Below are 12,930 nucleotides of genomic sequence, written 5' to 3' on the forward strand. Positions count from 1 at the left end.
TGTAAGCAACAAATTACCACGTCTAAGGTATTTTGATAGAGCAGCCTAAATGGACTAAGACAAGGCTCTAGGAAAGGTCCCCGGGATCTTCCCACCTGCTTCACCCACCTTCTTGTGTAGCCTCTCACCCCTGCACCCACCTACTCATCTGACATTTACCCAATGCTCTGCTCAAATGAGGTGTATGGGAGAAAGAAAAGAACATGACATTGTAACTGTGGGATTAAAATATGAGAAGAGATGGGGCAGAGCCAGGCCCAAGGAAAGAGAGTTAGCTCCCTCACCAGGGGGTTCAGGAAACCTTCACCAACAAAGACTTACCCCAGATGGATCTTGGCAGGGAAGTAAGAGCTTTCTAAGAAGAAAAGGCTCATCTCTTTTCTTTTCTTTAATTAATTTAACTAACAATTAAATTCTTCATCTGATCATCTTTTCTTAAATAGGAAGTGTCCCAGTAGCTTAGCTTAGTTTTTATCTTGCTGGAGTCCTCCAGGATTCTCTTACCTCTATTTTCTTCTTCATCATTAACCCCTACACTTACTCTAAAAATTCAGCTGCTGGTTAACACCACCTCTCTGGATTTCTCTTTCTTTCATCACTCTCAGGTTTCCTCTTAGCTACCTACCACCTGTACTCCATTCTATTCCTTTGCATATTCCCTCATTGGACCATGATATGATTTGGCTGAGTCCCCACCCAAATCTCATCTTGAATTGTGGTTCCCATAATCCCCACGTGTCGTGGGAGGGATCAGGTGGAGGTAATTGGATGATGGGGGTGGTTTACCCCATGGTGTTCTCGTGATAGTGAGTTCTCAGGAGAACTGATGGTTTTATAGGCATCTGGCATTTCCCCTGCTTGTACTTCTCCTTCCAGTCATCATGTGAAGAAGGACATGTTTGCTTCCCCTTCCGCCATGATTCTAAATTTACCCTGAGGCCTCCCTACCCATGCAAAACTGTGAGTCAATTAAACCTCTTTCCTTTATAAATTACCCAGTCTCAGGTATGTCTTTATCAGCAGGGTGAGAATGGACTAATATTTCCTTATTTGTATAATGAGGATAATAATAGTACCTCCCCTTCATAAGGATGTTGTGCGAACTGAGTCAATTTTGCAAAGTGCTTAGTAATTAGTAAGCAATAACAAAGCACTTATTAGCCATTACTATTACTGACAGATAGATGTCTGTGATAGAATACGTGAAATAAAAACTCAATTTTGTAACCATACAACTCACTCTCCCCAGGTGAGGGCATACGTGTCTGTAAAAGCCTAAAAAAGGATGCATCTCAGATGCCTTCTGCCTGTATGACCTTGTAAAAGAGGCTGTGGGATGTAAAGAGTTTGGAATCCCTCACATACTACAGGTAGAAGTAAATTGATAAAATAATTGATGAACAACTCAATAGTTTCTAGCAAAATCAAAAACGCATTTTTTGAGAAGTTAGGGAACAAGTTAAATAAATTGTGTTACATATATACTATGTCACACTATCCAGTCACTAAAAAGAATGAGGTAGATTTATTTGCTTAAATTTTGGTTCAACCACTAACAAGCTATGTGACTACAGACAGCCTGCTTAATTTCTGTGTCTCAGTATCCTTATTTGTAAAGTGAGGAAAATAACAGTACCTCCCATTCATAAGGATGCTGTGTGAACTGAATGAGTTAATTTTATAAAGCACATAGTAATTACTAAGCAGTAACAAAGCACTTATTAGCAATTACTATTACTGACAGAGAGACGTCTGTGATACAATAAGTGAAATAAAAACTCAATTTTGTAACCATACAAGTCACTCTCCCCAGGTGAAGGGGCATACATTTTTGCAAAGGCCTAAAAACAGGTTTGCCAGGAAACACAGCAGACACAAATAGTAGCTTGCTCTATTTATTCTTATCTTTATATACTTCTATACTATTTAATTTATATTCAGCTTATCCCTACAATTTAAAAAAAGCACTTGAAACATTTGAAAACTGACAGAAACAAAAGGAAAATGTGTTTAGTATATCTGCACACACACAGAAACATGGAACACAGACTCTGAGCAAGTCTCTCCCTTCCCTACCTCATTTTCCTCATCCAGTTGGCCTAGCTACATGGTCAGGGATTACTCCATGTGCTGGTCATCATCTCTAATTACATTAAACATTGCAATAATGATTGCTGTCTTTTAATGACAGCCTGCTATGTTAAGCAGTATGCTTGAAAAATGACAGCCTGCTATGTTAAGCAGTATGCTTGAAAAATAACAGACTCTGGGTAAAAGTGTTCTGAACCAACTGCAAAACAGACTCAAGAGTCAGGGAGGATTGCCCTGTCAGCTGGACCAAGAATGAGTCAAGACTGCCATTTGTGTTGAGGCTTAGTATTGCTTCTCCCCAGGTTTAGACAGAAGGTAGAAGCAAATGTCCGTTCCTGCTGGGATACTCTGGCTCCTGGAGTCCACAATAATCTCAAAACTATCTTCCCTCAGAGATAAAGACACCATAATAAGGAAGACTCATCCTTGTCTCCTGCTCCTGATTCTGTGATGAGTTCTTTTTGAACCATTCTTATCACCAGCAGGGGTCAGGAGTAGGGATGATACTGTCTGAGTTGACAACTCATTAAAATGTCTAAACAAATAACTGAACAGAAACCAAATCATAGGCTATCTTTTCATCCTTCTTTGATCCAGAGCATTTAGCAAACCAACCTATTATTTGTTCAGCTATGGTAGAACAAATTCTAATAGAACAAATTCAAATAAAGAAATGATTGGGCAGGACCATTTGATAGGTTAATACCTTTTAAATATGTGGGACTAACTAAAAACTAACAAGCTCAAAATGCCAACTGGTACCCATTTTTTTTTTTTTTTTGAGATGGAGTTTCGCTCTTGTTGCCCAGGCTAGAGTGCAACAGCATGATCTCGGCTCACCGCAACCTCCGCCTCCTGGTTTCAAGCAATTCTCCTGCCTCAGCCTCCTGAGTAGCTGGGATTACAAGCAGGCGCCACCATGCCCAGCTAATTTTGTATTTTTAGTAGAGACAGGGAGTCTCCAAGTTGGTTAGGCTGCTCTTGAACTCCCGACCTCAAGTGATCTGCCCCTCCTCAGCCTCCCAAAGTGCTGGGATTACAGGCGTGAGCCACCACACCTGGCCCATATTCATTCTCTTAATCTTCTTCTACGTGTATTCTTCTAATCTAATCTATTGCTAATGCAACTGAAGCATATAACTTTTTTATTGTCCAATGACTGTTGCTGAGTCAAACTTCCCAGCTTCCTCTTAGGTCTACTTTTCAGGGCAAATATATGAAGGTCTTTCCAAAACAGTCTCATATCACCAGGTATTACAGAACACCATCTCCTACAGCTCTTTTAAAAATGATCAAGTTTCCTCCATTTCCCTGCCATCAATAGTAGCAGTCCACGTCTAGACTATTGCATCAGCCTCCTACCTGTTGTCCCTGAATTCCTTCTCACCCAAGTCCAGTTAATTCATGCTCCTGCAGCAAACAGAATGGTCTTTACAATATGCAATTCTGATCATGCCACTCCCCTATTTAAACACGTCAATGGCTTCTGTTGTCCTTAACATGGCTTGGATGGTCCTGTTGATCAGACACTGCCAACCAACTGTCTTCATTCATGACTCCCTGGCCACAAAACAGACTGGCTAAGACCCTTCCTCCTCTGGTCTTTGTTCATGTTGTTCTGTAAGTCCATATAGCCCATACAGACTTCCTGCCTGGAAATACCCACTCATCTTTCCAGTCTCAGAACTCTGTGACCTGAGGCTAGGTCAGGTCTCCCTATTAGTCACTCTCCCAGCTTCCTAGACTTCTCCTTCAAGCATTTAACACACCTGTAATTAAATGACGATGAGTGTGGTAACTTCTCATTAGAAGTTAAGATCCTTGACAGGAAGGATCATAACTTGTTCTTCATTCATCCCAATAGCTAGTTCAGTGCCTAGCACACAGTAGTGCTCGGTAGATATTTGTTAACTAATGCTATTTATTCTTGCCCTGTGATCTTTTCCTATGACAGAAGTTAGCAAATTTTTTCTGCAAAGGGCTGGATAGTAAATATTTTAGGCTTTGTAGGTCTTATGGTCTTCTGCAACTACTCAACTCTGCCACTGTAGCCTGAAAGCAGCCACAGAAAATGTGTAAACAAATGGATGTGTTATGTTGTAATAAAACTTAATTTACAAAAACAAGTGGCAACTGGACTGGCCCAAGCACCACAGTATGCCAACCCCCGTTCTGGAATCTCCTTTAACCAATCTACCATGAAGATCTTGAATAAACTTACGAAAAGAAAACACTGACCTCTTCAAGATGTTTGGTCTTTTGCGCAATCTGTTTGTTCAAGGAAATGACTTTCCGGCGATGTAGCTGGGAGGTTCCTAATTTTTCTGGACTTTCTTCAGCTGATAGCTCAGACTGCTGTGGAAAAAAGGGATGGCAAATCCAAAGGATTTAGTTAGTTGACCTTGGTTCATGTAATCAAGCCCTGTTCAATGTGGGCAAAGCAGTACTGGGCAGCCAGTCACACCAAGCCAGGGCATTTACAGAGGCCTGTTCAAAACCTGGCGTACAGAAGAGATTCTGACACAATGACCAAAATCCCTATCAACAGAACCTGCATTCTGGGCTGAGGGAACAGCATGTGTAAAAAAGTACAGGGACATAACTGTGGTTATGTCAATATCATATAGGCAACAGGTATCATCAAAAAGTCTTAAATAGGGGAATAACATGGCCATAGTAATATCTTCATAAGACCATTCTGGAGTTATCAAGAATAATGAATTGATTCACTGTGATCGAAGTATTATAAGCAAATGGTTAAAAAAGTCTAGCCATTCAGCAGCACTTATAATGAAGAGTCTCCCAACACATTTTCCATCACTTGGCCCACTCCAATTTAATCATTTCCTATTTCTGATGTTCTGGAGTTAACAGGGGATTGATTGGAAAGGGATTAAAGGTGCTGAGAGAGGTCAGGTAGGAAAAGTTCTGCAACTCTATAAGGGAGGAGGGGGTGGAGAAGGATCCTCAGGACCAGGAGTGAGTGTGAGAGAGATCTCTGAACAAGATGATGAGGTGAATGTGATAACATTTTCCAGGAGGGCAAATGGCCATTCCTGAAAAACCACACAAAGAAGTAAGCAGCTTAGTGTAGATACTGAATACAAACACCGCCTCAAGACTCCTGTGAGAAGCCCCAGGAAAAAGAAATTAAAAGGTAGACCGTTTTGCAATAAGTGCAATTATAATACTTCTTGGATGATTATAGTTTTATTAAACAGTCAAACACCAACAATAAAACATCTTCTTTCTTATAGTAAGTACCCCAATTCCAAGCTAATCATTGATTCTAAACTCACATGCAACAAAAACCATTTGGATATTCAACTTTCCCTGAATGTTTTAACAGTGTCCTAGGCTTGAAAGTCTAAGATATTTACCCACAGGAAAAAGAAATGGGAAAGTGAGAATGAGGAGAAATTGGATGGCCATAACCATTTATTCTGGTTAAGGATTTCTCTGAATAATTCAGCAGGTATTATTAATGGATGATGAGTTCTTCTGCTACTTAACAATTTTGGAGTTACAAAACAACCAGCAGGATACAGCTGCATAAAATGGTAAGAAACATCACTTTCTGTCTCATGGGCTGGTAGGCCATAAAGGAAACAGAAAAACTAAGCATTTATTATTACAACACATTTAGCCTTGAAACCTGGGACTGTGTAAAATGTCAACATTATTTTAGCTTTTAGGATTTCTGGGAATTGGAATTAACTTTTTAAAATTAATTTTGGACGCACCAAGATATTCACAACTTGTAGTATGGAGAAGGACAAACTATTTCTGAAAATTATTTGAGAGTATTAAAAAAGGGTGGTGGAAGAGGAAAGACCAGCCCCACTCTAAATCACTTACAAAAACAGAATTACAATTAACTACATCTCCTCTACTTTGATTGGATTGACCTGAACTATGCTATTAATTTGGCCACTTTTGTATGTTATGTATTTAATAGCTTTTTTATAGTTAATTTTAGCTTTGAGTTTTAATATCCAGCTTAGATTCCTTGACTTTGACTTCCAAAGTGTCATAAGCATATTCTCAGAGCATTGTGCTTTACTAGCCGAATTACATAAGCCTTCTATTCATGCTTTTCTGATACCTGAAACAGAACTAATTTCCCATACAGTATGTCTCTATGTTTGGTGTGAGGATTATGCTTCAGTATCCTGACCTCCTCCAGATGCCTGTCAGGCTTCGAGACTGAGACGTGGGCAGGCAGGCTCCAGTGGATCCACGTATCACTCACCTTCCAGACTTCCTCCAGTGTGTGGGGGCTGAGTAAACTCATTCAATTCTGTTCTGCAGCTTTGGCATGGATTGGGTGATGTCTCTGACTGTTAGCAAGCTTTCTTGCTCATAAACTGCTTTTATGGCCAAAGTCCTAAGAAAATAAAAACTGCATTCCCCCACCCAGCTTCCATGCTCTCGTATTAGTGTATGTGGCACACATACAGCTTTGTTTTAAAATTATGACCTTCAGACTTCACTTACAAGAATTCTTCTTGCAGGAAAACCAGCAGCCATCTTGATATGTGGAAAGATTATTTCTGTTGATAGCTATCTAAGTCTCAATTTTGAGCCACATGCTCCCTCAAAACCCTGTCAGAAGGTCTCAGAGGCCAAATACCTTTTCATAATAATATGTTATTTGCCTTTTCACTCTCATTCTCGTGATTATACAGTGACATCTTCCAGATGTTACATGACATGTGATATCACTGATCTGATGTTAATATTAATGTGCTCATTATAATTTGTAAGTAAATACATAAGCTATTGGGTATGAATTAATACATGTTACTGTCAATGAATACGTAAGCTACTGTAAATGAATTAAAATACACAAGCTATTGAGTCCTCAGTTATTTTTAAGAGTCTTTAACTGGGTCCTGAAAGTATTATAAAATGTTGAGAACTGCTACTTTAATCTAAGGAGCCTGGTTCACTTGGTAACCCACCCATGGGCTGGGACAGTCAATGGGGTGGGCTCACCAACTGGCCAGCCATCGTTTATGTAACACCGAGAGGGAAAAGTTCTTTCTCATTCTGCTCTTTTACTAGACCCGTGATTCAGACAACCATACAGAGAGAAAATGCTCGCAATGCACAGAAAAATATCTTGAAATCTCTATAGGTACCTCTACCATATCTGTTATAGTAGTATATGTTCCAAGGAAACATGAGCTTTCAAACTGCTCTCTTTTATTGGTAGGTAATAATTCTTAGTCCTGTGTGGAGTCCTGTAAATGTACATTTACTGGCGCACAGTACTTATAAACTTGTAAGTTCCTCTGTTTGCCTCTGAGTTTAGAGACAGTGCTATGGGAAGCTGCTTTGTTTAATGGGAAGTTATTTTTAGTCAGATAAAACAGTTTATTACTGAGCTGAAATGAGAGTTCCTAACCTAGTAAACAGAAAGCTGACCGCTCTGTTTTTCAAACACACTTTTTATTAAGCAATCTAAATTTTTTGTTTCTCAAAGCCAAGAGAACTCAGACTGATGAAGACAGGAACAGGTCCGTAAACCAGCAGGTCTCATCTAATGGTTCATTCACTGAGAGATACGATGAGAAAGAAAACTAGATGACCAAGGTGGATTTTGAATGATGAGACAAAGTCAGACAGAAGGAGAAGAGGAAAAGGGGCTTTATACTAAATCCTTGACAGAAAAAATTTAAACCGTAGAGCATCTTAACAGATTTCTGCTGCCAAAATGCAACATCTGTCAAAGAACATCAACCATCTACAAATATTCCATTTGTGTTTACATTGCAGTGAGGGCTAAAGTGCCAATCTAATTTGTTCAACATTTTCAGATTAAGAACGTGCTTTCAAAACCACATTGTGGATTAAGATGACTTCTAGTGTAAATTTAGTGTTTTCTAATAACTGACAGATATTCACAACTTCTATTTTTAGAGGAAACAGATTTAAATGTCACCGAATAATATTAGTCTAGTTCAAAATGGTAAATTCCCAAGAGAAGCAAAAAATGATTACTTTAGCTAAAACTATATACTTTTATAATTGAAAGAAACCCAAAAGGTTATTTACACATCAACCTTCTAATACAGGGTTCTCTCCTATATCATCTCCCTACCCCACCAAAATATGGTCACTAAGCTGACAATAATAAAGAATTCCTATCTTACAAGGTACCAGGAGTTCTCTACACTAAATAGATGGACTTCAATTTTTGGTACCCTGACTGACCAATTAAGGACAAGTAGGCTGGGCGCAGTGGCTCGCGCCTGTAATCCCAGCACCTCCAGAGGCCAAGGTGAGTGGATCACTTGAGGTCAGGAGTTCAAGACCAGCCTAGCCAACATGGTGAAACCCTACTCTACTAAAAATACAAAAATTAGCCAGGCATAGTGGCATACGCCTGTAATCCCAGCTACTTGGGAGGCTGAGGCATGAGAATTGCTTAAACCCAGGAGGTGGAGGTTGCAGTGAGCCGAGGTCACACCACTACACTCCAGCCTGGGCGGCAGAGTGGGACTCTGCCTCAAATAAATAAATAAAGACAAGTAAACAGACTATGTGAAATATTTATTTAAAAATGTTTTTAAATCTAAGAACTAGCAAGAATGTTAAATTTCGGAAGGCCAAAAAGTAACTGAAAGTGGGAATCCAGGAATGTATATGTACCCACTGAAGTTGGCTTTTTTTCCTGAGAGTATTTGCCAAAACCTGATGATCACAAGCTTTGATTTTTACAATTCAGTAACAACTTTTTACCACATAAATCTTGATACAGCTGTAAGAGGGAAAAAATCCACAATGAGATTTTGTAACAACAGATTGGACCTCATGCAGTTCTGCAATCCTAATTCACACACTACTTTGGGGCAAAAAACCCATAAGTAAGGACTAGGTATAAAATGCACTTGGGCTGAAGTATCCCCAGGTGCTTGGCAGAAGCAAAAGCAGATCTTCCCTGAAAGAACAGAGCTTCAATCCTAGGCCTCAAATAGTTCCTACAGATAAACTTCTAAGGGATATGGGGCTCACAGTCAAAAATCAAAAGCAGACAAGAAGTCAAACTACCATAAACAAAAGCCAGTGAAAACAGACAGCAGAACTGCATCTGTAAAGACTTATTCAAATACACCCCCTCCCAATGCACACACCATATACATACAAGCATGCCCATTCCTCCCTAAAGCAACAGATTAAATCTAATCACTCTTTCAGATAACAGTTCAACTAAGTGTCTACAGCTCTTCCACCTGTCCTTTCTATAACAAGATGCTGACACCTTTCACCACCTTGGATGTTATCCTAGTTTGTAAGTGAACTTCTAAAGCACTCCTGATGATGTGTGACCACTGCAGATAGGAGGGAATCATCCACTTTCCCTGATCTATATTCTGCTTCCAAAAATGAAACTCAATACATGAATGCTCTTTTCAATATTTTTAAAACCCACTAATGAAATTCCATGAATTTCAAAAACCCATAGTTATGTAACCTTGTTGAGTCTAAGGCTTTGCTTTGGGTCCCACTGTGAGTAATGCGGTGTGCCTGCTCAGAATGCACTTAACATTTAGGAGGTGTGAACAAAATCCAAAACCTCCTCTTTAATCCCCATACACTACTGTCAGGTCAGATGGCATCCTCACCAAATCATGAATTGGTACAACTCACTTTTCTGAAATTCAACAGTTTTTTCATTTTTCTTAAGTGATGTTCCAATTATCTTTGCAAGTGATGCTTTAAGTGATGCTCAAATCTGGCAAGGCTAAAGTCCAAGTCTTTATGCAAATTGATACGGACTCTGAAATGTATAAGTTGTGCTGTGTGGCTTGAGATCATTTTACCAGGCTGACAATTCATTAGTTGATACCATTATCCTTGCAGTTAGGTATTGTATACTAATTACGTAAGAGTCGATCCGAATTCAGGAAATCTTAGAGCCGTTTGTAAACAGAAACATATTTAGCATTGTTCTCTCCAGATTTACAGGGTTCCTTACTCTCTTAACTCTGATTAAAATTTTAAATCTCTCTCCCCACCTTCCTTGGCTTATTTCAGCTAATCTTTACTCAGATCTTATTGTGTGGGGGCACGGTGGTATGCACTGGGGAAGTGGGAAAAGACAAAGACTGTACCTCTGGCCCTTCATAATCTAGCCAGACAAAACCAGCTAATTCGTAAGTAAAGGTGTTGCATCCTCTGCATTCTCCTCAATGCCTAAATTGTGTCACAGAGGAAAAGGGTTTTGAAAGCTGCTGTTGTTCCTTCCTCTCCCTCTCTTCCTTTCTTCTTTCCTTCAGCAAATATCTGTGAAAACCCAATTGTGTTGGGCACTGAGAGTATACTATAATCCTAGCCCTCCTGGAAAGCAAACATTCTAGTCCTGGGAGACAAGCAAAGAAACAAACGAAACAGTGCTTGAGGGAAGTGCTACAAAGGAGATAAAGAGCTGATCTCTACAACATCACTGAAGAGCCTCTTTTAAGAAGTAGAATTTTTTTTTTTTTAAGAGGGTCTCACTCTGTTGCCCAGGCTGGAATGCAGTGGCATGATCATAGCTCACTGCAACCTCAAACTCCTGAGCTCAAGCAATCCTCCTGCCTCTGCCTCCCAAGGAGCTGGGACTGGAGGTACATGTCACTATACCCAAGTAATTTTAAAAAAATATTTTGTAGAGATAGGGGTCTCACCATGTTGCCCAGGCTGATCTCAAACTCCTGGCCTCAAGCGATCCTCTCGCCTCAGGCTCCCAAAATGCTTGGATTACAGGCGTGAGCCTCTGTGCCTGGCCCAGAATCATTGCTAATGGCTATCAGGTGAGTCTCCACAAAGTCTTCAAGTGATCCATTATCTTCTACTGAGTATTTATTATGAATGAAGCAACAGGAATACAAAGATAAAAAATGAAATATTGGCCCTCTAAAACTTCAGAGGTTAGGAATATGATTTATGCAACACCTATTATGTTATGTGAGGAAATAGTATCTAGAATGAAGGGGTTTAAAAATCTACCTAGACCCCCACCCCTCCTGATTTTAGACCCCCAAACCCTCCTGGGTTTTTCTATCTGTGGCCACAATAGGAGGTTTCCAAGAGAGGAACACCCCCACCCCTTTCCTGACTCATACTACACTTCTCCCCAACTCCACAAACCGATGCTGCTAGCAAGTGGTAACATTTTTTGAGTTGGGCAGGATGATAGGATTGGAAACACTCACATCTAAGCTTATTAGAAATCACACAGGTGGCAGATCAGGCTGATTTTCTAACAAAGCAGTCGGGGTCCCCGGGCTGCTAAGCTTCCTGTTACTTTCTGGCCCAGGCAATGTCCCTGGGGTGTGGTATCTTCACTCAGTCCTAAGCCCTTCCCTTTTCCATTTCTAACCCCATGGTATAATTTTAAAAGTCATCCATTCTGCCTGGTTATTATCAGGCAAAAATATTTTAATATCAACAAAAATATCAACAACTTTTCTTTGGGCAGATACTGTCACTTCAAATGATAACACAAACCTAGTAGCACCCGGCAGCCACTTTATAGGCATACAAATTGTATTATTCTGTAATTTATGTTTTCACAGGTTGACTGACTCCTTACTGGAAGCCCCTCAGGGCCGCAACCCTGACTCACGCGTAACGCAATCCCTGCCCCCTACACCTGACACTGCCTGGATGCAGATCTACTCAACAGGTGTTTGCTGAAAGAAGAAATATATCTAATCACTCTTTCACATGACAGTGATTATGAGGTCAATTCCATCAGTTCTCTGGCAGAAAAAAAAAACAAAGACTTAAAATATAAAAAGATTGTATTAATTTAAAAATATATTTTCAGAAGACTTCATACGTTTGGAAAAAGTGTAAGAGTTACAAACCCAGGGTGGAGAAATAACAACGTGAAGGCAACTACTAAGAGGACAAACGATATATTAACAATTGATTCTTTTGGGTCAATTCCCTCCAACTTTGTTGAATAAATTTCCTGAGGGCCTAGTGGAAACGAAGGCCTTATGGGGGTGCTAGCCACCATGTGTGCCCCATATCTGTTGGTAGAAAAGTAATCCCTGTCTCCTACTCTTTCTAGTTCAGAGGGGCTGCCAGTCACACCCAACTCCTGGCAACAATGGGCCTGGGGAGAAATCTGTGACCTAAGCCATGACAGACAGAGGACAGTCCTTCCTTAGGATTTTATACACTGATGGAGGAAGGGGGCAGTAAGACAGAAACTGTCTACAGTCAGGCCTCCAAGGTGATGAAGCCAAGACAGAGACAAAGTGAAGCAAGGGTAAAGGGATATGGCAGGGCCATTTGAGTCCCCCACTAAATACTTCCAGTTCTGAGAGCTGATAAAGGCTCCCTTTTGCTTATAGCAACATGCTGGGTAGAATTCCTATTACTTGCACCCAAAAGGCTTAAAAGGCAAAGGGTCCAACTTAGTGAGTGACAGAACTGAAGAGGCAGTCTTCTCTGCTGATTGCATCATAAAGTGGAATAAAAATCATCATGATAGATGGGGACAAGATCTGCTCTAATCAAATGTGGCTGTCTGCTTTTTCTAGAAGAGACACTTTCCTTTGTGTTTTTTCATAAGTACATCCTTGACCATACCCAAGCTCTAATTATCTGGCGAGATTCCCCAGGTGCTCTGGAAAGATATGACTTCAAGATAGAGCAAAGGCTTCTAACTGCCAGAGAATGATTCTCAGAATCAAAAGGTCAGAGGCAATGGTGCCAGAATTTCTTAATTGCTGGACAGGAAAATTTCCAAAACCCATTAAGGAAAAATTCCTTCCACAAATAAGTCCCTTGATGATCTAAAATACACCTTGCTATGGAAATGAGATCAAGATGTTG

At 40.1% G+C, this 12,930-nt stretch overlaps 1 protein-coding gene across 6 annotated transcripts in view; it reads right to left on the bottom strand.

The window, feature by feature from the left end:
• The window catches only part of CCDC93 (CCC complex scaffolding subunit CCDC93), a 98,590-nt gene that overhangs the window by 38,555 nt on the left and 47,105 nt on the right, over nt 1-12,930 (bottom strand). For 4 of the 6 annotated variants that reach the window (NM_019044.5, XM_011511361.1, XM_047444816.1 and 1 more), the window contains one exon: nt 4,330-4,446. In NM_019044.5, the coding sequence (NP_061917.3) occupies nt 4,330-4,446 (117 nt within the window). The remainder of the gene's footprint in view (nt 1-4,329; nt 4,447-12,930) is intronic. The other 2 variants (XM_011511359.2, XM_006712600.3) reach the window with 1 other exon arrangement.

Source organism: Homo sapiens, chromosome 2 (assembly GCF_000001405.40).
Source record: "Homo sapiens chromosome 2, GRCh38.p14 Primary Assembly".
NCBI classification, from domain to species: domain Eukaryota; kingdom Metazoa; phylum Chordata; class Mammalia; order Primates; family Hominidae; genus Homo; species Homo sapiens.